General features: G+C 50.7%; 3 protein-coding genes across 19 annotated transcripts, besides 6 other annotated features; 2 read left to right on the top strand and 1 right to left on the bottom strand.

Annotated features, from left to right (window-relative positions):
- On the top strand, positions 90-3,167 carry SDR39U1 (short chain dehydrogenase/reductase family 39U member 1). 10 transcript variants are annotated; one of them, NM_001387323.1, is made up of 7 exons: positions 157-179; positions 481-587; positions 673-755; positions 1,138-1,162; positions 1,795-1,924; positions 2,007-2,150; positions 2,441-3,167. In NM_001387323.1, the coding sequence occupies exons 1-7, from the start codon at positions 164-166 to the stop codon at positions 2,848-2,850; spliced, it is 915 nt and encodes a 304-aa protein (NP_001374252.1). In that variant the 5' UTR covers positions 157-163; the 3' UTR covers positions 2,851-3,167. The 10 variants fall into 10 exon arrangements, with proteins under 10 accessions (NP_001277221.1, NP_001374256.1, NP_001374252.1 ...); NM_001387324.1 differs by lacking the exon at positions 1,795-1,924 and having other exon boundaries at positions 1,138-1,253; NM_001387326.1 differs by lacking the exon at positions 1,795-1,924 and having other exon boundaries at positions 1,138-1,259; positions 2,567-3,167.
- On the bottom strand, positions 1,090-19,768 carry KHNYN (KH and NYN domain containing). 8 transcript variants are annotated; one of them, XM_011536590.3, is made up of 8 exons: positions 19,457-19,768; positions 12,002-12,219; positions 10,323-11,470; positions 10,081-10,211; positions 9,901-9,997; positions 6,754-6,861; positions 6,444-6,545; positions 1,090-5,897 (listed from the first exon to the last, which is right to left on the bottom strand). In XM_011536590.3, exons 1-8 carry the CDS (start codon positions 19,566-19,568, stop codon positions 5,648-5,650), a joined length of 2,166 nt encoding a protein of 721 aa, XP_011534892.1. In that variant the 5' UTR covers positions 19,569-19,768; the 3' UTR covers positions 1,090-5,647. The 8 variants fall into 8 exon arrangements, with proteins under 8 accessions (XP_011534892.1, NP_001277185.1, NP_056114.1 ...); NM_001290256.2 differs by lacking the exon at positions 19,457-19,768 and adding an exon at positions 13,526-13,647; NM_015299.3 differs by lacking the exon at positions 19,457-19,768 and adding an exon at positions 12,814-12,979.
- Positions 10,561-11,122: an enhancer, noted in NCBI's record as "H3K4me1 hESC enhancer chr14:24901017-24901578 (GRCh37/hg19 assembly coordinates)". NCBI's record gives its function as "activates a minimal SCP1, AML or CMV promoter by ChIP-STARR-seq in primed H9 embryonic stem cells {active_cell/tissue: H9 hESC(primed)}" and the evidence as "EXISTENCE:reporter gene assay evidence [ECO:0000049][PMID:30033119]".
- Positions 11,123-11,684: an enhancer, noted in NCBI's record as "H3K4me1 hESC enhancer chr14:24900455-24901016 (GRCh37/hg19 assembly coordinates)". NCBI's record gives its function as "activates a minimal SCP1, AML or CMV promoter by ChIP-STARR-seq in primed H9 embryonic stem cells {active_cell/tissue: H9 hESC(primed)}" and the evidence as "EXISTENCE:reporter gene assay evidence [ECO:0000049][PMID:30033119]".
- Positions 11,685-12,248: an enhancer, noted in NCBI's record as "H3K4me1 hESC enhancer chr14:24899891-24900454 (GRCh37/hg19 assembly coordinates)". NCBI's record gives its function as "activates a minimal SCP1, AML or CMV promoter by ChIP-STARR-seq in primed H9 embryonic stem cells {active_cell/tissue: H9 hESC(primed)}" and the evidence as "EXISTENCE:reporter gene assay evidence [ECO:0000049][PMID:30033119]".
- Positions 11,723-11,832: an enhancer, noted in NCBI's record as "active region_8218". NCBI's record gives its function as "activates an Ori minimal core promoter by ATAC-STARR-seq in GM12878 lymphoblastoid cells {active_cell/tissue: GM12878}" and the evidence as "EXISTENCE:reporter gene assay evidence [ECO:0000049][PMID:35858748]".
- Positions 12,393-12,572: an enhancer, noted in NCBI's record as "active region_8217". NCBI's record gives its function as "activates an Ori minimal core promoter by ATAC-STARR-seq in GM12878 lymphoblastoid cells {active_cell/tissue: GM12878}" and the evidence as "EXISTENCE:reporter gene assay evidence [ECO:0000049][PMID:35858748]".
- Positions 12,603-13,142: a silencer, noted in NCBI's record as "silent region_5643". NCBI's record gives its function as "represses an Ori minimal core promoter by ATAC-STARR-seq in GM12878 lymphoblastoid cells {active_cell/tissue: GM12878}" and the evidence as "EXISTENCE:reporter gene assay evidence [ECO:0000049][PMID:35858748]".
- Positions 13,265-16,388, top strand: CBLN3 (cerebellin 3 precursor). Its single transcript, NM_001039771.3, has 3 exons — positions 13,265-14,178; positions 14,528-14,647; positions 14,947-16,388. Exons 1-3 carry the CDS (start codon positions 13,879-13,881, stop codon positions 15,142-15,144), a joined length of 618 nt encoding a protein of 205 aa, NP_001034860.1. The 5' UTR covers positions 13,265-13,878; the 3' UTR covers positions 15,145-16,388.

Here is a 21,617-nt window from a genome sequence, read left to right as displayed (position 1 = left end):
CTATATTTACAAGTTTTTCCGGGTCGCCGAGAAGGGTCACGCACAGGATTGCGACCTCGATTGGAACGCGCTTCCCGAAAGGGGCATGCGCAGAGAGGTCGTAGTCGCGTCTGAGGTGAGGTAAACTCTAAACTTTACGCAGGCGCGTTAGGTCCTAGTCGCTATGCGTGTGCTTGTGGGTGAGGGAGGGCAGAAAGGGAGAGTGCTGGGCGGGCTTAGTCGGAGATTGAGGACTGGGAATCCGCTTCCGGGAGGGCACTGTCTAGTGCACAGGCAACCTGGCCTTGGCCTCCTAGCCCGAGAAGCCGAATCTCCCTAATCCCTGTGACCTGTGTCACCTCTGCATCGCGAGGAGGGGGATAAGTGGGGAGAAGCCTGGTGTCAGATGGGATGGCGCCGGAAGAGGGTGCCACAGCGGGGACGGAAGGCGCCCCCACCCCAACTCCACGGGAATATAAACAATTTGTATTTTCCGATCAGGTGGCGGGACAGGCTTCATTGGGACAGCCCTAACCCAGCTGCTGAATGCCAGAGGCCACGAAGTGACGTTGGTCTCCCGAAAGCCCGGGCCCGGCCGGATCACGTGGGTAAGTCCATCCTCTGGAAGCGGGTGGGAGGGCAGAGTTGGGCGGCGCAGGGCGGGGCAGGGGCACTGTGTGCTTTCTCCGACAGGATGAGCTCGCTGCATCGGGGCTGCCGAGCTGCGATGCCGCCGTCAACCTGGCCGGAGAGAACATCCTCAACCCTCTCCGAAGGTCAGCCCGGGCCCTAAAGCTGATACCCACTAGAGCACAGGGAGGACAGTGCCCCACTGATGAGAACCTGTGAGCTATGGGTAATGGAGCTCCCAGATTCCGAACTAAACCGATATCCCAGACTACTCATTCTGCTCCACTCCTCCACCCCCACCTGCTCCTCCACCCAGTCAGCCAATTGGCTTAAGTCCTCACGTATAACTCAGGATGCCCAGGAAATGAATGCCCTTTCCCTCTACAGGAGACGTTGACTGTTTCTCTTAAGCCGAAATTCAGGGCTTTACAAGAAATTGGTATGAAATAGCTCCCAGGAAAAGACAGAGAGAGGGATATGTGCACTTATGTATTTAGTGGCTTTTTATTTCCCATGTTTCTCCTGCAGATGGAATGAAACCTTCCAAAAAGAGGTAATCGGCAGCCGCCTAGAGACCACCCAATTGCTGGCTAAAGCCATCACCAAAGCCCCACAACCCCCCAAGGCCTGGGTCTTAGTCACAGGTGTAGGTACGCCCCCCAAATCACCAGCCCCTTATATTCGCCAGGGGAACGGGGTAACTCAGACCTCTGTAGCTATGCACACACCAGAGCACTGGTCTTTTCCAGGCAAAATGACTTCCTAGGCCCTTGATCCATGCATGTTTCTCCTAACCTTTGTGTACTTTCACTAAGAAATTGAGACCCTGAAAAAACAGTGGGGAGTGGCATCACTCAATGCCAGGGAAAAGTCCACCTATCCCAAAGTCCCTTACTTCTCACACCATAGTTCTTTAGGAACAGAGTTCCTGGTCACCTTTGGGACCAAGTAATTGCAAACAATTATACACACCAGCCACTATTTGAAGTGTTTTATGCTTATTATCATTTATTCCTTACAACAACCCTATGAGGTAGGTACTATTATTCCCATTTTAAAGATGTGAAAATTCTATACAGAGAGGTTAAGTAACTTGCATCAAGTCAGAGAGTTAATAAATGAGGGAGCTGATTAAAATTCAGGCGCCTGGTACCCAAGTTCCTGTTCTTAACCACTACACTCTAGCAGCCTCTAAGTTTAGCCCTGCAACCAGAGTTCCTCCAGGGAAGGAACGCTTCAGGTCATGGAGAAGTTCAAGGGGAAAATATCCAAATGGCTCTGTCTCCAAATGGGGAGATCCTAAGGGCCAGAGAAGGTGAGGCCAAGGGGAGCCTCCACTACAGAGAGCCAGGCAGGACCAAGGACACCCAGGGCAAATGATTGTGTTCCACCGGCAGCTTACTACCAGCCCAGTCTGACTGCGGAGTATGATGAAGACAGCCCAGGAGGGGACTTTGACTTTTTCTCCAACCTCGTAACCAAATGGGAAGCTGCAGCCAGGCTTCCTGGAGATTCTACACGCCAGGTGGTGGTGCGCTCAGGTGAGAAACGGGCCTGGGTATCAGACAGGGTTGGAATGTCTTCTCTGGGCTGGGGAAGTGATGGGATTAGGAGAGCTGAGATTACAATTACAGAGTGAGAGGATGCCACCACTTCTAGCCAACCTGCAGATGAGAAGGTGTGAGGTCTTAAAGACAGCCATACTGCTCACTTCTGTTACAGAGCCAAGTCAGCATGGGGAGAGTGAGGAAGGGGAAACAGAAACCAGGAGGAGCAGTGGGCTCCTTCAAGGCTGAGAGGACCCCTGTACCTTCCCTCTTTCCTGCTCTAGGGGTTGTGCTGGGCCGTGGGGGTGGTGCCATGGGCCACATGCTGCTGCCCTTTCGCCTGGGCCTGGGGGGCCCCATCGGCTCAGGCCACCAATTCTTCCCCTGGATACACATCGGGGACCTGGCAGGAATCCTGACCCATGCCCTTGAAGCAAACCACGTGCACGGGGTCCTGAATGGAGTGGCTCCATCCTCCGCCACTAATGCTGAGTTTGCCCAGACCTTGGGTGCTGCCCTGGGCCGCCGAGCCTTCATCCCTCTCCCCAGCGCTGTGGTGCAAGCTGTCTTTGGGCGACAGCGTGCCATCATGCTGCTGGAGGGCCAGAAGGTGATCCCACAGCGAACACTGGCCACTGGCTACCAGTATTCCTTCCCAGAGCTAGGGGCTGCCTTAAAGGAAATTGTAGCCTAAGTAGGTCGTGGCAAGGGCCTGAGGCCTGTTCCTCACAGGCTTCCAGGTTAGGCACTGTGAATAGGCTCAGCTCCTCTAGAGAGCTGAAGCCATCTGGTTCTTAGATTCCTCTCCCAGTCCTCTTTCCCATTGTTCTGTTGCTCCACCTTATTGTCTCAAGGCCGTAATCTCATCAGGTTGGGACATTAATCTTTTCAACTCCTTGTAAGATTTCCCAGTTTGGTTTCTCTACATGTCCTGCAGCTGCCCCACTTCTCCTTTACGCTGTGTAGAGAATGCTCTGCAGTTTAGGCAATAAAAATAAATTGTCTCACTAACCTTGGCTCATCTCTTTGGCCTAGATTCTCCTGGGATTTACTTCAAGGAATGTCACCCTAGATGATTCTTCCCCAAAGACGGGGTTTTGAAAGTTACAATGAGCAGTCTCTCTCATCACCGTTTCCCTTCTTGGTCCTTCAGTTGCCAAAAGAACTTGTCACAAGTTTGGGACATCAGGTTATGATAAAGATAGACACTAGAAGAGAGAATGATGATCCATTTCCAATGGGCCCTGTAGTCACCCTGGATGCTGTCAGAGTGCCATTAGGATGCCAGTAGAGGAAGAGGTAAGGCCCAGGTGTAGGATAGCCTTCAGTCTGTGTCACCAAATGGCAAGTGCATTACTAACCACACAGTGGTCCCAGTTTATCAGGCTGCAGCAGAACAAAGTCAACATCCCTGTCTATAAGAAGCTTAGGACTTGCCTCTCATCTGACTGGGGCCACTCAGTCAACCAGGGCCCTTAGCACAAAAGGGCAGAAGACACTTTTGGTCTACTGCACACCCACCATCACTGAAAGTGAAAATGGCAAGAAACCAATCAAGAAGTATAAACAACCCTATCAGGAAAAAAAAAAACTCCAAGGTTTTCATCTAGGACCCTTTTTACCTACCTAAAGCTGTGACATCTGCCATAACTTGACCAGACACAGTTCCCCCAGCCACCAGTTCAGGCCATACTAACCAATCTCTTCTCAGGGACCGCTGGGTTATCTCTTAATCATTGTCACCTCTTTGACCAGCCTGTCTCCAACACACCTGCCCCCAGCCTGGGTCAGTATGGTACAGTGGTGTAAATCACCAAAAAGGAAGGGGTGAGGACACAAGGACCCTCCCCATCATCATTACACTCGCCATGCAGTATTCAACTCCCTGTGCCACTCAGAGGGAGGCAGAAGTCAGGGCCTGGAAAAGATCTTGTCTAGAGACTCCCCACAGGCCCACACAGAACAGAACCCAGGGGCACCTGTCCTACTTCTTTATCTGGTCTTGGATTCCAGGAAGTTGACTGGCTCTGTATTGTTCCTGGAGGTATGACCAGCCTCAAAGGTGGATGTAACAGAAAAGCATACTTTAGGCTGCACTAAAGTAAGGAGTACTGATTAATACCGTCTACACAGGGAATGTGCTACCCTGGAGATAGTAAATTCCCTGGCACAGGAGGACTTCAAGCAGATCCAGGGCAATGACCTCTAGGAATCAGGGTGAAGAAAGCATGTCAGTAACAGCAGAGTTGGTCTGGTGGCCAGTCAAGTGCCTTCCAACTCTGGTTCTTTCATTTTCCAGATAATTGGTTCATCTAGAACCAACTGGTTCAACTTCCGTTAAGTCCTCCCATCCCCATACACACACACATAAAGCAGAAGTGTGCCTTGCTTTATGCAACATACGTCTTCCATAGAGAAAATGTTAGGGTCGGATCACATTAATATTGTCATTGCAGAGCATGGCTTCATCGATTGGTGAAAAATCGACGTGTTCATCTCAACACCAGGAAGTGCATCTAACCAGGGATTTGCCAACACATTTGTTAGTCTGTAAACAACACCTGAATACAACAGGAGAGCTGCCATTTATAGGAACCCTGAGAGTATTTTGATAATGCAGTCATCCCTAATTTACCTACTGTGTAAATGTAGATTTTGGAGGTTGCTCAAAAGGGATGCAGCCATTATAGGGCACGTTATAGTGAGAATGCAGTGTTAAAATCTAGGGTGTGGATCCTGGAGACAAAGGACCCACATCTCTCTGAAAGTGAGGTTTCGGTTAGAGAGCCTGTGCAGCCACAGGCAGACACACCTGAGACTTGGTCCAAGCACCTTTCCTCCAAGAGGCTTTCCTCTATGTTCTCATTTCTCCTCCCAACAGGTATTTTTACCCCTGATTTGTAGGCAGAAGTAAAGCCCAAGCAACTCAATCAAGGTCACAAAACAGGCATAGCTGAGACCAGAAGCCAAGTCTCCCTCTGCCTTCTTCACTAGCTCACTCCACCCTATCGTGGCCCAGTCCACATAACACTGTGCCAGGGCCTAGCATCTCCTTCCACGCTCCCAGGAGCTCAGCAAGGGAGCATCTTGTTCTCTGGCCATCCAGAGCAGCAGCCAGGGAGAGGAACAGCTTAACTTCCTGTCACTTCCTGCCCACCCTGCCCTCCACCCTAGCTCAGCTTGGAGGTGGAGCCAACAGTCTCAGTCTCCGGAACTAATCCCCTCTAGCAGCCCCCACTCCCTACAGAAACCCTGTGCTAAGGCAAAGTTGAGAAGTTAAGGCTGAGCAGAACCTCTTGAGAGCTGGCTGAGGTCCTGACTCGGTAAGATCAGTTCACTTTATGGACCTGTCCCAAAGTGGCTTCCCTGATCCAAAGCACCAACTCAGGGTGCCTCTGGATCAGAGTGAGCAGCAGAGGGACTCTCACAGAAAGGGCTGAGCTGGAGGCGGCTGGAGCTGACAGGGCGGCAGCCACTCAAGCAGGTGAGGCTCAAAAGTTAAGACTGAGCAGGGCCTCAGACAGTTGGTTGATGTCCCGGCAGTATGGCTCCCGCTGCAGGATGAAGTCCACTTTGTGATCCTGACCCCAAAACACCTCCAGCAGCTGCCGCCGGAGCCGCTCTGTTTCCCGGGTCTTCCGAATGCCACCACTACCTTTTTCCTCTTCTCTCCCCTGCTGCTGTTTACCATGTTCTGCAAAGCCCCTGGAAGGATGCTGAGCCTTAGAAGACCCCTGTGTCCTGGGAAGAAACAGACCAAAAAGAGCTGATGAGCATCCTGGGGGGGAAATTAGATCTTAGTGGGCACCCCTCTCGTAATTGTCCTGCCTATTCCTGGCTTTGGGGGAGAAATCCTGAAGTTCCTGAAGCTGACCACTGAGTGGCAGTATCAACCCACTTCTGAAGGGAAGATGGGCCGTTCTTTTAGAAACAGGGTGAACTCTGCCACTATTATGATCTAGTTCTAGTCCTAAATGAATCACTTATGTAATGGTCAGCAGAAGGCATGCTGAATACAACTGGCTGTCAGTATAAGCAACCATTTTCCAAATAACTCCATCAAACATGCTGATTAAGAGAAACAGGAAGCAGGTGTTTCCCTCCCAGCAAGGAGGTTCTATGTCAGGATCCCCTGGGAAGCTTATAAAGGCCAAGGCCAATGCAACTCAAACCACTGCAAAATTAAGCTGGCCCAAACTGAGGTCACACTTCCACCCAAGTCTCTGGGCCTGCTGAGAGAGGGCCAGGGGTGGGGGCTGCCTGTAAGTAGTCTAGGGGATTGATTACCTGGCTGGCTTCTTCAGAAATTCATCCAGGGTGGGGCCGTTTCGCCCCAGTGGGTCATCAGGTACCATGAAGAGGTTTCCCACAAAGGTAAAGGGCAGCAGGCTGGATGGCGAAAGATAATGTGTGGTCACAGAGGGGGCCCTTGCCCACCTCCCAGACAACCGAGACCAGTATCACCAGAAGCTGCTGGCTCCATCCTTCAAGAAAACTTCACCTCCTTCCCAGAGTTTTCACCCCATGGCCAGAGCAGAGCTGGCTTTAGAAAAACATCTGCATCTGTGCCCAGTTCTCAGCGGGAGGGCTCCCTCACCGTTCTCTGATGATTGCCATCCACTTCTCAGACTCCTCCGCCAGGTCCCGGAACTGGTCATTGGAGACAATTATCCCATCTGTCTCTTCAGCCAGCTTCACCATGAACCTGTCTCCAAAACCACAGCAACCGAGAGAGGGTTGAAAAATTACCTACTGGGTACAATGTTCACTGTTTGGATCATGGTTACATTAAAAGCCTAGACTTCACCACTATGCAATATATCTATGTAGCAAAACTGTATTGGTATCCCCCAAATCTACAAAAATAAAAGTAAAAACCACAGCAACCATTTGGGACTCTCCAAGGCCCCAACCCCAGAAGTTTTACTGTCTCCCATAGGCCACTTCTGGTGATGGAGATCTGGCCCCCTACCTCACCTTGACCCAGCTACAGGCAACTGACTAGATGCAAGTGCCATGGCCTAGAGAGGAAACAAAGATGAATCCAAGGTGGTCTCCCAGTAGCATCCTATCTGCCAACCATAGTCCTTCACCCAACACTTTGTGCCTCGTTAGTAAACAGTAAGATCTAGCTCTGTCTTCCACCCTGCCCAACCAATCCCTTGCAAATCCAACATGCCTTTCCTTTGAAAAGCCTTGTGCTCTGCTCCCTTCCTTCCCAGGCCCACCATTACCACCCCAGTAATTCAGATATTGCAACTGAGATTATGCATAACCTCCTAACAAGGGGGTCCCCGCCTCTGACCACTCACCCACCCTCCAGTCTCCCCTGCCCTGCCCCAAGAAAGCATGCTTATCACCTACACAAAACTCTTCCACACTTGCCCTTTATTTACCAAATAAAGTCCACACACCCAGGCCTGGCAGCTAAGGCCTTCTACAGGCCAGCTCAAATCACCCTTACAGCCTTATCTCTCCCAATATTCCCTAACCCACTCTCAACTCCAGCTAAAATCAATAATCAGATTACACTCTGCTCTCCACATATGTCTTATGCTGACTTCCATATTTCTCCAACTATTTCCTCTATCTGGAAGGCACTTCCCAAGACTTGCTAAGGAACAGAATTACCAAGGGAACTTTTTTAAAAAATGCCTGGGCTCCATTCAGTAATTCTGATTCCACAAGACAGGGTAGGACTCATGAAGTGATGGGTGGTGGTCTTTTTAACAGATTTAGAAACAGAGATCCAACCCATCCCAGTCTTCTCAACACAAAAACTCACAAATCTCTCCTTTCCCACAAAACCCCAGCCAGAATGGGGCTCCTTTCCCTCTGAGTTCCTGTAGTGTTTGATTTATGGTTTCTTTCGGCTCTCTAGTCAAGAATCAGATCTTGTTCCCAGTGTTCCCACCTCCTCCTGCAGGCCATGCACCTAGTACTAAGTGAGCAGTCAGTATTTGAAAGATAGTGTGGTATAGGGGGAACTGGGAGTCAGGATTAGGTGTGACAGATATCAGGCTCTGAGCTTCTGTCTGGGAAACAAATTAAGGGAATGACATACAAATGTCTATGGCCGGGCTTGGTGGCTCACGCCTGTAATCCCAGCACTTTGGGAGGCTGAGGTGGGCGGATCATGAGGTCAGGAAATCAAGACCACCCTGGCCAACATGGTGAAACCCCATCTCTACTAAAATGCAAAAAGTTAGCTGGGCACGGTGGCATGCACCTGAAGTCCCAGCTACTCGGGAGGCTGAGGTAAGGGAATCACTTGAACCTGGGAGGCAGAGGTTGCAGTGAGCCGAGATCGTGCCACTGCACTCCAGCGTGGCGACAGAGCAAGGCTCCGTCTCAAAAACAAACCAAAAAAAAATTATATGGTACACTTATGGTATGCAAATGGTATTTTCCAGTTAAGCATATTTTACTATGATCGCATTACACAGTATGTTGTTCAGCAACATTCATTCCGTATGCCTACGCTGTGTACCACTGTGCTTATTCACTGTTACTGGGCGAATTCCCAATTTATATTATGTTATCTGCCAACCAGGTCCCACACAACTGGGCAGACACATGCCTTTAACATTCATTAAAACGAACTCAATCTTCAGTTTCAATTCTGTTTCAATGCAGGTGTGGAAAGAAGATTCCATATCTTGGGTAATCTGTGACATCTAGATATAAATAGAATAACATTGGGAGAACGTAAACTGCTTTTTTGTAGAATACCATTTGCTTGTTAAGGAATAGAAGGTAAGTGTTTGAAAAGACAAAGTATATAATCACTATGGTTTGGAAAAACTAATTTTTAAAAACTGTATAATGTCCTAGAGAATAAAGAACTTGTAAATTTTTTAACTTGGCTTTCTAAAATCTGCTCATTTCTCACACCACCTAGGCAGACTATGGTAGAAGTGTGCCTTGTATTTTCATTCAAACCATCTGGCAGCTTTGAGGTCTAATTCCCCTTTGCTAAGACAGGTAACCACTCTGACCCTCTGTCTCCACGACTGTAGATTGGAGATATACCCGCTGCCACACTTGAGTAGGTCTGTGCAAAGTTAGGATGGAATGTCACTGTACTCTTGCCTAGCACCTTGAGCAAGGCAAGCACATACCTTATCTTTTTCGTATATTCACAAGGAGGGTAAATGAATGGAGGAGGACCCTGAGACAAAGAGGTTAATTCACTAAGAAAAGTTCCACAGTCAAAGTCAATGAGTAGTGCTACTTGAGGCTCAAATTCAGATCTTCCAATTCTAAATCCAGTGATCTTTCTATTATACCATGTTTTGTACAGTCCTATTATTCATGCGTTGTGTTTCTCCATTTTACTTGTTATTTTGACCTTTACTCTGGTTTTTCCAGAATGTTAGGGAAATTTCTCTGCATGTTTGGAAATTCAGGTTATAAGAAGACATCTGTCAGCTACTTATGTAACCAGCTTTCCCACCTTTCCACTAAACCAGTATTTTCTAGACAGTAAGGCACTATATAAATACAAGGTATCATTTTGTTTGATGAATGATGAATAGACAAACATGGTTGTCTACAGTTCATCTCATCACACCTGCAGGGCAGGTTTACCTACCCAATCATAAGGCACACAGAGGAATAACTGGCCCCTTACCCACCACCAAGGCTTAGAAACAGCGTAAACCACCAGGAGCTTTTCTCTCTCCCTCAGTCTTCCATAGGGCTCCTTCAATATCAAGCCTGGGGCCAGGAGAGGAGCAAGTACCTGTCATCATAGGAGGAGATCCTCTTGCCATCCATGACTCGTGAGGGTGTGAGGGAGAGCAGGCTGAGGGAATACAGCTTTTGCAGGAAGTGACTCTCTATTGAAAAAGAACATAATAGGGTTCTCCTCAAAGTGGAAACAGAGCCTATCCTGGGACACTGAAGACCAGGCCCAACTCACCTCTGACTTTGGCATCCTTACTGAAGCGCCACTGAGGCACAAAGACAGTTATGTCACGGTGACCACGGTCCCAGAAGTACTGCACAGCAATGGCAATGCCCCGGCTGGAGAAGTAGTGCTGGAGGCCATGCCTGTAGTGGGAGGGGGTCGGCCAGAGGAGGGGCTTGGCACCCTGGCTACAATGCCAGCCCCTCAGGACATATCCTCCCTCTCCTAGGCCCTTAGCCCCACCAGGTACTCACACCATGGCCACGTTGCTGCCGTCAATGACAATATGGCGGAGGTCTGGCTGGCCAGGCACATTGGCAAGGCACAGGGTGAAAGGATCCTGCAGGGCCTCCTTGAAACGCTGTGTGCCAGTCACCAAGTTGCCCCCTCGGGCGCCTCGTTTCCATTGAGGCCCCCGACCCCGTGCCATGCCCTGCTGCTTGTCTCCCCTGTCCCCCACGTCTCCCCGGTCTCCGCAGTCACCCCGGTCTCCACAGTGCCATGGGGGTTCCGGTGCAGGTGGAGGGCTGGGCACCCTCGGAGGAGAGGCATTCCCATTGTGGAGCCGCTGGAGGAGGGAGGCTCCTCGGGACTGAGCTGCCCTGTGACAGGAGCCATGGGCACCGGGAGGCTCACGGTGGACACAGAACCCTCCTCCTCCCAGAGCTATCTCCTCCTTCCCCAGGGCCTTCCCTTTCAGGGGTGCTGACTCCCTTGCCCCTCCACCCACTGACTGTGGCCTGAGGGCCACTTCTCTCTCCCACGCCTCTTCCCCAGGCAACTCCTTCCACCCCCAATCCATCTCCCTGGGACCACCCTGTTTCCCTCCCTCCTTCTCCACAGCGTAAGTGTCTCCCCTTGCTCCCCTGCAATCTCCGGGTCCCATAGATCCAGTGTCCAGGGACTCCCTGCCGTCACTAGGGGGAGCTCTCACTCCTTGGCACTGAGCACCCAGCAAGGCTGAGCTCCGCCCCTCCCAAGAAGCCAGTGCTCCTGGCCCCTGCCCACTAGACGCCTCCTGCACCAGACTCAGCAGCTCCTCCTGGACAGCCAGGGGCAACTGCAACAGAGCCTCTCTATGGGCATCCCCCGGGGACTGCAGCAGGGCAGAGAAGTCTCTCAGCACTCCAGTACACTGAGAGGCTCCGGAAGATGGTCCTGGCGTGAAGTCCCAGCTCAGCCGCTCTGCCAGCTCTTCTACCCGGCTCTGAGCCATGACAAAGGCTTCAGTCAGGCCACTGATCATCAGTGAGCCTGGCGCCCTGGGCACCAGATGGGCTGACGTGCTCCAGGCCAGGCAGTCAAGGAAGAAGCCCTGGGCTCCCAGAAAGATGCAGTGCAGTTTGGGCGGGTAGTGGATTTCATCCTGCAGTTCTGGGCTGCAGAGGCCCTTCAGGTACTCCTGGTTGGGAGGAAGGGAAGGTCAGGAAAAGTAAACTAACTGGCCCAGATCACCCCTCCTGGCTCCTTGCTCGCTCCTGAGCTCCAGGATGTCTGGAGTATCCACATGATGTTATTCCCATTTTAGAGATAAGGAAACTGAGACTCCCATCACAAAGCTGGTACATGATTGAGCCATCCTGGAACCCCAGCCTAATCCCAAAGGAAGCAATGTGGCCCAGCCTCCCACCCCACAGTGCATTCCTTGGTGGGGCCAACTTGTTCAGCCAGATATCTCTATTCTCCCAAAGAGCACAGAATGATTTTTGCCAGCCTGGGCCATCACAGAAGAAATTAAGCTGAAACTGAAAACAAATATAGAGTTGGAAAGTCCCTCAAAACTCAGGGGCACTGAGGTTGCCAGTGAGACAACCAAGAAGTGGAGATCCTCCCCAGGCCCCTCCTCTTCCCTGCTCTCCTCGGCCCTGCTCTCCTCCGCCCTGGGGGAAAGCGTCCTTGGTGCCTGGAGGGATGGGGGAGAGAAGGCGTTCACCTTGGCTCTGCTGGCGTTTTCCTTGGGGCCCTCCAGCTGCAGCCAGATGTGGGGGTTGTCCGGACAGTCCTTCGGAAGGACGCTCACCCCCACGCTGAAGATGCGCTCCACATGGGGCTGCTGTTCCCGAACCTTGTTCTCAGCCTCCGCAGACACCGCAAAGCGATCTGGGGACGCGGGGCGGGCCCCCCAGGTAGGCATGGCTGCTGCCCCCAGCCCTGGAAGGGGAGAAGGCAGCTCAGAGCCTCATTGTACCCTCCATCCAAATCCTGGTTCCTGGGACTACACCAGCTATCAACAGGTCGCACCTAGTTAAGGCTCTGGTAAACAGCCCCAGGAGGTGACAAGCATCTGAGTCCACTGGAGGTAGGGAGGGTGTATGTCACGCAGGCCTCTCCGGAGAGGAAGTCCCGGTAAACAAGGCTGTCTATCGAGAGTGGGCGTCTGGGCTTTGGAAAAGGATGACCACAGTCCGGAGCAAGAAGGGTGGGGGGGCTCCAGCTCGGCCTGGAGGCCAGAAGGAGTCTCCTGGGGCACTCTGAAGCTTCTTAAGGACGAATCCTCAGCAGGGGATTGAACTAGGCTGTCCTCTGGGGGCCCTGGTCTGCCATTTCCAAGGTTCAAGCCACTCCCACCCCTCCCCCAGCCGTCCGCTGCCCCTCTCCGTCGGGCCAGGAGCACCGCCCAGGGCCCAGGGGCCGGGCCGGGCCGGGCCCGCCCACCGCGGACTGGGGCAGCCACCCCGGGCCGGGCCTACTCCGCACCGCGGCCCCCGCTCCCCGCTCCCGGGCGCGGTGGAGGGGCGCGCCTACCGCCTCCGCCGCCCGCGCCGGCTTCAGGTCCTCTCAGCGCCCGCCAGGCCCCCGCTTTGCCCGCGCCCCCAGCCCAGGGGACAAGGGCAGGGGGCCCGAATCTGGGCGGGCCTTCCCGGGTTCCTCACCCAGCGGGGACCTCTCTTGTCCACATCGCACGCAAACTGTTTCTTGAGTCACTTCCTGGCCTGGGGCGGAGTCAGCCCAGCTCCTCCCGGCTGCGCGCCCTCCTCCCAACCCCGCCGCCGCGCCCAGAGGCCCCGACGGGCCCGCTCGGCCTAGTCCCCTCGGCGGCTCCAGGGCTCGCCCCTTGCGCTTCTCACCAGCCCTCCCGTCTGTCTCCCGGCCCTCAGGGTCCTCGCGCATTCTGCGCAGTTACTTCTCGGAAAGGGGAACCATGCGTTGAAAGTTGTTTCCCGCGAATAAAGATGTGGCCGACCAAAGAGGCAGCGTGACTGGCCCACTGGTGCTCTAGGCCCAAGCACTTTCCACCAAAGCAATCGTGGCGGAGGGGGTAGGCGGGAGGCGGGAGGCGGAGGGTACCCGTGGTGGAGTACCCCTTTCTTCCAACAAACGGAAAGATGCCACGAAGAAGGGCTGTTGATTTGTGGGGGATTTTGAAGAGAGGAAGAGTAGGAGGAAGGGGTTGAGGGGCTGCCTCTGGCATATGCACACACTCACACATTCTGTCACACCCGTCACACACACATACCATGTTCTCCATCCCCCCAGGTCCAGCCCTCAGTGCTGTCCCATCCAGCAGGGCTGCCCTGAAGCTCTGGCTGCAGCCCTCCCGTCCAGTGGGCAGGCGGCTTCATCCCTCCTTTCTCTCCCAAAGCCCAACTGCTGTCACTGCATGCTCTGCCAAGGAGGAGGGAACTGCAGTGACAGCAGGAGTAAGAGTGGGAGGCAGGACAGAGCTGGGACACAGGTATGGAGAGGGGGTTCAGCGAGCCTAGAGAGGGCAGACGATCAGGGTGCCGGCGGTGAGAATCCAGGGAGAGGAGCGGAAACAGAAGAGGGGCAGAAGACCGGGGCACTTGTGGGTTGCAGAGCCCCTCAGCCATGTTGGGAGCCAAGCCACACTGGCTACCAGGTCCCCTACACAGTCCCGGGCTGCCCTTGGTTCTGGTGCTTCTGGCCCTGGGGGCCGGGTGGGCCCAGGAGGGGTCAGAGCCCGTCCTGCTGGAGGGGGAGTGCCTGGTGGTCTGTGAGCCTGGCCGAGCTGCTGCAGGGGGGCCCGGGGGAGCAGCCCTGGGAGAGGCACCCCCTGGGCGAGTGGCATTTGCTGCGGTCCGAAGCCACCACCATGAGCCAGCAGGGGAAACCGGCAATGGCACCAGTGGGGCCATCTACTTCGACCAGGTAATCCCCCTACCCCTGTCCAGGGGACCTGGAAAGACCCTGCAAGGACCTGGAAGCAACTGTCCAAGCCCACTTTGCTGTCTCTGAGGCTTTAAGAAAACAGCTTCCTACATCTTTCACTAATCTGGCCTATTGCCCCACCACCCCACCGACGGTTTCCCCTCCCTCCACCCATACGCAGCCCTCTCCTTGCCCCTTCTCACCATTTCTTTTGAATCTGTTCACTCCTATTCACTCCTACTTGCCACTCCTTCTATTCATTACTCACTGCCCCTGCCCCTAGTCCCCATGGTACCCCTGAGCCATGGGCATTTCCTGAGCCCCACTCAGCAGGCTCTGCTTCCCCCAGGTCCTGGTGAACGAGGGCGGTGGCTTTGACCGGGCCTCTGGCTCCTTCGTAGCCCCTGTCCGGGGTGTCTACAGCTTCCGGTTCCATGTGGTGAAGGTGTACAACCGCCAAACTGTCCAGGTGACCTCAGCACTGGCCCCCATCCCCGGCTCAGGAGGGTGGGGAGGGGGAAGAAGGGGAGCCCAGCTGACCTCCGGGTGGACTCTCCATTGACCTGTGTCCTGGAGGCCAGGACCAGGGGAGGAATGGGCCTGCCTTGCATTGAGTGTGGAGGATGTGCAGAGTCCAATGCTGGCCGCCCCTCAGCCCTCCCGGGAGAGCCCATTAAAACCCAGCTTCCCAAGAGGAAGCTCCTGGGAAAGTGGGGGGTCCTGAGCTAAGGGCTGGGGAATGGGGGCTAACTGGGCTCCCCTCCCCAGGTGAGCCTGATGCTGAACACGTGGCCTGTCATCTCAGCCTTTGCCAATGATCCTGACGTGACCCGGGAGGCAGCCACCAGCTCTGTGCTACTGCCCTTGGACCCTGGGGACCGAGTGTCTCTGCGCCTGCGTCGGGGGAATCTACTGGGTGGTTGGAAATACTCAAGTTTCTCTGGCTTCCTCATCTTCCCTCTCTGAGGACCCAAGTCTTTCAAGCACAAGAATCCAGCCCCTGACAACTTTCTTCTGCCCTCTCTTGCCCCAGAAACAGCAGAGGCAGGAGAGAGACTCCCTCTGGCTCCTATCCCACCTCTTTGCATGGGACCCTGTGCCAAACACCCAAGTTTAAGAGAAGAGTAGAGCTGTGGCATCTCCAGACCAGGCCTTTCCACCCACCCACCCCCAGTTACCCTCCCAGCCACCTGCTGCATCTGTTCCTGCCTGCAGCCCTAGGATCAGGGCAAGGTTTGGCAAGAAGGAAGATCTGCACTACTTTGCGGCCTCTGCTCCTCCGGTTCCCCCACCCCAGCTTCCTGCTCAATGCTGATCAGGGACAGGTGGCGCAGGTGAGCCTGACAGGCCCCCACAGGAGCCCAGATGGACAAGCCTCAGCGTACCCTGCAGGCTTCTTCCTGTGAGGAAAGCCAGCATCACGGATCTCAGCCAGCACCGTCAGAAGCTGAACCAGCACCGTATGGGCTAGGGTGGGAGGCTCAGCCACAGGCAGAAGGGTGGGAAGGGCCTGGAGTCTGTGGCTGGTGAGGAAGGAAGGAGGGTGTATTGTCTAGACTGAACATGGTACACATTCTGCATGTATAGCAGAGCAGCCAGCAGGTAGCAATCCTGGCTGTCCTTCTATGCTGGATCCCAGATGGACTCTGGCCCTTACCTCCCCACCTGAGATTAGGGTGAGTGTGTTTGCTCTGGCTGAGAGCAGAGCTGAGAGCAGGTATACAGAGCTGGAAGTGGACCATGGAAAACATCGATAACCATGCATCCTCTTGCTTGGCCACCTCCTGAAACTGCTCCACCTTTGAAGTTTGAACTTTAGTCCCTCCACACTCTGACTGCTGCCTCCTTCCTCCCAGCTCTCTCACTGAGTTATCTTCACTGTACCTGTTCCAGCATATCCCCACTATCTCTCTTTCTCCTGATCTGTGCTGTCTTATTCTCCTCCTTAGGCTTCCTATTACCTGGGATTCCATGATTCATTCCTTCAGACCCTCTCCTGCCAGTATGCTAAACCCTCCCTCTCTCTTTCTTATCCCGCTGTCCCATTGGCCCAGCCTGGATGAATCTATCAATAAAACAACTAGAGAATGGTGGTCAGTGAGACACTATAGAATTACTAAGGAGAAGATGCCTCTGGAGTTTGGATCGGGTGTTACAGGTACAAGTAGGTATGTTGCAGAGGAAAATAAATATCAAACTGTATACTAAAATTACATTTTAAAAGTTGAATAATGTTTGAGTTAAATAGGAAATACCAAGGTGAATTTGTGGTTTTGAAAAGAAATAACTTTTTGAACTGTCACTAATCCTAAAAACAACATCAGGAACAATCTGATATCCATTCTTAGAAACTGGATCTTTGCTTCAGATATTAGTCACCATTAAAAAAAAATACCAAAAACCCTCAGGTTCCTTGGAGAATAGCTGCACACCTTAAGTAACTCCAGGCCCAGAACATGTTGTTGATGACAGAAAGCAAAGATACTTTTTAAATGTATAAAGTAAAGCTGAAAAGGCAAAGGAATCAATTTAAAGAAGCTCCCACTTGACATGCTTTGACAATTTGATTATCAAAAGGAAAATAATACAGTTAATTGGAACAAGGTGAATTTTTTAAATCCATGTACCTGCAATGATATTCAAAAAGGAAGAAGTCACTATAAAGTGTGACAAAAAGTAGTTAATATGCTGAGTGAAGAAGAGTGAATATAGGCTATTTTTAGTGAGTCGTGATAAGTACAAGAACATAAATATAGTAGGCATTTTGTCTATTTGCAAGGTACATTTGTTTTTCTTTATCTATGTAAGTAGGGAGGGGTGAGTACAGAGAACTGTGAATAATTCCAAGAAGATCTGGCACTGTGCCAAGAATGAAAGATACTGGTGGAACTATTTGAGTATATTTTGCAACTAAGAAGAAAAACAGTCCAATGGCGTGTTATAAGACAATGGATTAGTCAGATGTCCAAAAGACAACTGTTCACTGCTCAGGCTTGATCGTTCATCTCCTAGAAAATGGATCCTCTGTATTACCCCACTAATTATAATGAGATATTAATTAGGCAAAATGATTAAGAGTAGGTTTGGCTGTAACAGTAAAACCCAAAATAAGAATAGCTTAAACAAAATAGGAAATCATTTTTGTCTCACATAGAAAAATCTGTAAATAAGAGTCCAGGGATGGATGGCAGCCTTATGATCATTTGAAAGCCCAGTCTTCTGTCTTGTTCTACCATCCTTAGCTTGCCACCTCATGACCCAAGACGGCTCCCTGAGCTCCAGACATTACATCAGCCTAACAGGAAGGAGGAAGGAAGAAACAACACATCTCTTTCCTTGAAAGAAGCTTTCTGAAATATGCACCAATATTTCTGATTGTGTCTCAGTAGAATTTAGTCACCCGGGCTCACCAAGCCAGGGAGCTTGGCTAGGAGCTACAGTGTTTATTCCAGGCAGCCATGTCCAGCCAGAAGTTGGGAGTTTTATAACAAGGAAGAAGGGGAAATTAGCTATTGGGGAAGACAACTAGAAGTTGTTTTTTATTGTTGTTTTTTGAGGCAGAGTCATGCTCTGTCGACCAGGCCGGAGTGCAGTGGTGCAATTTCAGCTCACTGCAACCTCCACCTCCTGGGTTCAAGCAATGCTCATGCCTCAGCCTCCCGAGTAGCTGGGATTACAGGTGCGAGCCACCACACCCAGCTAATTTTTTGTATTTTTAGTAAAGATGGGGTTTCGCCATGTTGTCCAGGCTGGTATCAAACTCCTGGCCTCACGTGATCTGATTACAGGTGTGAGCTACCACATCTGGCCACAAAGTACTACCAACTTGGTGGCTTAAAACAACTGTTTATTACCTCACAGTTTCTGTGGGTCAGAAGTCCAACAAAACGTGACTGGCTTCTCTGCTCAGGGTTTCACAAGATCAAAAGCAAAGTATAAGCAGGGCAGCCTTCCTTACTGGAGGGGAAGAATCCACTTCTAAACTCATTTAAAGTTCAGTTCCTTACGGTTGTAGGACTTAGGTCCTAGCCCCCTCCATTCTCAAGCCAACAACTGCAAGCCAAGTCCTTCTCACACTTTAAATCTCTCAGGCCTACCTTTCTACCACATCTCTCTGACTTCAGTGTAGAAAGTTCTCTGAGTTTAGGGACTCGTGTGATTAGGCCCACCCAGATAAGCCAGGATAATCTCCCTATTTTAAGGTCCACAACCTGAATTGCATATTTGAAGTTCGTTTTGCCATGTAACATAACATATTCACAGGTTCCAGGGATTAAGGCATGGACATCTTCAGGACATCTGCATATCAGAGTCACTAAACTCAAAGATGGCATCATGTAGAGAAAAGGCATGCAGCTACAATACCACTGCATGGAAAACGTATGGGCTTGAAAATTTCCCATGATATATACAAGATAAATACCAGCTCAGATTTTAATCATTTTAGAAGGTGAACCAATTCCCAGGTCCCAACCAAAAATTCATTGATTAATAATCCAAAACTTGATCTACATTGAGATATATTTTTATTTTAGATATCTAAATTCAAAAATTGCCCTGAGCTGAGATAATGTCTCTCAGGTCTACCACCCATTTTTATAGTGGATTTAAGCATAGGTGTTATAAACTTTATAATCCTTATAATGGTATGTGTCCCTTACCAAAATGAAGCTTTTAGAGAAACTGACATATTAGTGATTCAGTTGAAATATTTAGGAGGATTTGATTGTTTTTAATCAACGTTTAAATCATTTAACTTGTTAAATGTATAGATTTTGATTTGCTGGTTATAGAAATCGTGTTCAAATATTTAGACAATTTTTCCTTCAGTAGGTTTGTGAATAGATTAAACAATAAATAAAGCACAGGTGATGGTGTGTGGTCCTCTCCAGGTACCAAAAGCTCCTCAGACTTTAAGGATCCTAACAACAGACTCCAACTATTCACCTTCCCTATGCCCATGCCCTGGCAGCTGATTCCTACAGAGAAGTCCCACTGATGAAGGATTCAATGTGGATCTAAATCCATGGCCTCCAGCCACATCTGGTCCTCAATCCTATAATCCTCAATCCTCTAACTCTTCACTGGTTTCCTTTGCCAGCTGCCCCTCATCTTCCCCAGAATCCACTGCCAGCTTCTGTTCCCTCCTTAAGCCTTTTGCCCCACCAGTTCTGCTCCCATGGCCCATGGTCAGCGGCAGACAGCCTCACCTTCCACCTCACTGAGAACACAGAAACTCCAAGCAGGACCCTGCCCACCACCACACTTACAAACTCACCTTCCTCCCCATCTCTGCTTCCTCCTGCCTGTCTCGGTGGGAGACGAGTTCCTCCTCCTGTCAAGGCTGCTATCCTCATCCACCAGTCTTGGATCCAGTTTCCTCCAGACATCCTGTCATCTGTCACTCTCCTTTCTACTCACTCCTTCCCTTCAGCAGCTCTTAAAGTTTAGGAGCTCAAGTCTCTTAAATCTAAGAGAAGATAGGCATGGAAGTAGTTGTAGATATAGGTATAGTTATCCTCAGCTCTATCTATTCCTGCAGGTAGTTGGCGTCAGCTCATCTCCTCCTTAAAGCAAAATATTGTAGTACAAATGTCTACACTCTCGATTTGCACACCTCGTAATCACCGGTGAACTATGGCCTCCACTGCTCCACCTGAACTGCCCTCAGCCATGGCTCATAACTTCCGTGTTACTGAAGCTGGTGAACACTTCCTAGTCCTCCTGTCACTCAGTCTGTCTCTAACATTTGACCCTGCTGACTATACCCTCCTTCTAGAAGCACTCTGCCCCGACTTCCCTGACTGTACGCTCCCTGGTTTTCCTCCACCTCTCTGCCTGTGCCCTGCATCTCTTAAGTGCTGATTTTCATCAAGGTTCTGCCCTAGCATTCTTTGGTCCTAAGACACTCTCAAAGGCACAAATGACCATCCATATGCTGACAATGTTATCTCTATCCAGGATCGCCCTTTCTGAAACTCAGACTCATACATTGAATATTCCACTTTCAAGTCTACACGCTAAAACCTGAAATTATAGTCTTTCCTCCCTAAATCTGTTCTCTCGCCCTTGTTCTCTATATCTGTAAACGGAACTTCCCTGTTGCCCAAACCAAAAATGGCCATTATCCTTAATTCTTCCCTCTCCCATAACCCTCATATCTAGTCATTCACATCCATCAGTTCCATTCGTTTCTTTCCGTCTGCCCTGGCTCAAACTAACAATCTTTTAGCTAGATTTCTATGAAAGCCTCCTAACTGGTCCTGTGGTTTCCTAACTGGTCCTGTGGTTTCCCTTCAATTCTCCAGACTGCGGTAGCCTTAGTGATCTGTGTAAATAAACTTCACTGCCTAAGGCCCTCTGGGGGCTCCAGGTGGGCCTCAGAATGAAATCCATATTTCTTAACATGGTTTTCGAGATCCCTCACAATTCAGCTCCCAGAATCTCCACTACTTCATTTTTCACCATCTGCAAGAATGTACAGACCTAAGAAATATCACCACTTATTAGCTGAGGGGAAATGGCACTCTTTGGAAAAAGAGAGTACAGCATTTCAGTCAAAACTTATCAGGACCAAGAGAATAGTTCTTGGACCCAACGGAGGTAAATCCATTTTAGTTTGTGAATCATCTTACTGAGGACCAAACTTTAATGGAGACATCTTAGCGGACTCTATGTAGTGCATTAATAACAGATGGAGAGACCACAGATTAAGCGAGGGGAGACTAATTCTAACAACAAAATGAATGCACTTGTGTCAGAAGCAGTAGTATGGTGGTTAAGATGGTGAGCACAGAGGCTGGGCACGGTGGCTCATGCCTGTAATCCCAGCACTTTGGGAGACCGAGGCAGGTGGATCACCTGAGGTCAGGAGTTCGAGACCAGCCTGGCCAACGTGGTGAAACCCTGTCTCTACTAAAAGTACAAAAATTAGCCAGGCGTGGTGGCAGACGCCTGTAATCCCAGCTACTCAGGAGGCTGAGGCATGAGACTCCCTGGAACCCGGGAGGCGGAAGTTGCAGTGAGCCGAGATCGTGCCACTGCACTCCAGCCTGGGCAACAAGAGCAAAACTCTGTTGCAAAAAAAAAAAAAAAAGAAAAGAAAAGACAAAAAGAAAAGAAAAAAGAAAAGAAAAGAAGGTGAGCACAGGAGTCAGTGCTCAAATCCAGCCTCTCAGTGGTTGTACATGACTTTCAGTGAGTTACTTCACCTCTCCGTGCCTCATTTTCTTCCACCTATAAAATGGAGATACTAATTGTATGCACCCCACAGGGTTGGAAAGCACTTAGAACAGTACCCAACACAGAGCAAGTACTCAGTATATGTAAGTTACTGTTATCAGATGACTTAGTAAACAAGTTAAAAATTGGACCTGTCCCAGGGATTCTTGGACAGTCTTTTAAAAGCAGGTAGGATTTTTTATTTGTTGTAGCCATTT

This window comes from Homo sapiens, chromosome 14 (genome assembly GCF_000001405.40).
Source record: "Homo sapiens chromosome 14, GRCh38.p14 Primary Assembly".
NCBI classification, from domain to species: Eukaryota; Metazoa; Chordata; class Mammalia; order Primates; family Hominidae; genus Homo; species Homo sapiens.
This window is presented reverse-complemented; position numbering and strand designations above follow the sequence as displayed.

What these genes read in the sequence shown, in the direction of transcription:
- CBLN3 (NM_001039771.3), top strand. Translation starts at nt 13,879, where the DNA reads ATGTTGGGAGCCAAGCCACACTGGCTACCAGGTCCCCTACACAGTCCC. An exon ending in GGGCCATCTACTTCGACCAG is followed by an intron (nt 14,179 to 14,527) that starts GTAATCCCCCTA and finishes TGCTTCCCCCAG; the next exon opens with GTCCTGGTGAACGAGGGCGG. An exon ending in ACAACCGCCAAACTGTCCAG is followed by an intron (nt 14,648 to 14,946) that starts GTGACCTCAGCA and finishes TCCCCTCCCCAG; the next exon opens with GTGAGCCTGATGCTGAACAC.
- SDR39U1 (NM_001387322.1), top strand. An exon ending in GGTCTTAGTCACAGGTGTAG is followed by an intron (nt 1,260 to 2,006) that starts GTACGCCCCCCA and finishes TTCCACCGGCAG; the next exon opens with CTTACTACCAGCCCAGTCTG. An exon ending in CCAGGTGGTGGTGCGCTCAG is followed by an intron (nt 2,151 to 2,440) that starts GTGAGAAACGGG and finishes TTCCTGCTCTAG; the next exon opens with GGGTTGTGCTGGGCCGTGGG.
- KHNYN (XM_011536590.3), bottom strand. Translation starts at nt 19,568, where the DNA reads ATGTCTGGAGGAAACTGGATCCAAGACTGGTGGATGAGGATAGCAGCC. An exon ending in TAAGGATGCCAAAGTCAGAG is followed by an intron (nt 9,998 to 10,080) that starts GTGAGTTGGGCC and finishes CTTTTTCAATAG; the next exon opens with AGAGTCACTTCCTGCAAAAG. An exon ending in ATGGCAATCATCAGAGAACG is followed by an intron (nt 6,546 to 6,753) that starts GTGAGGGAGCCC and finishes TTCGCCATCCAG; the next exon opens with CCTGCTGCCCTTTACCTTTG.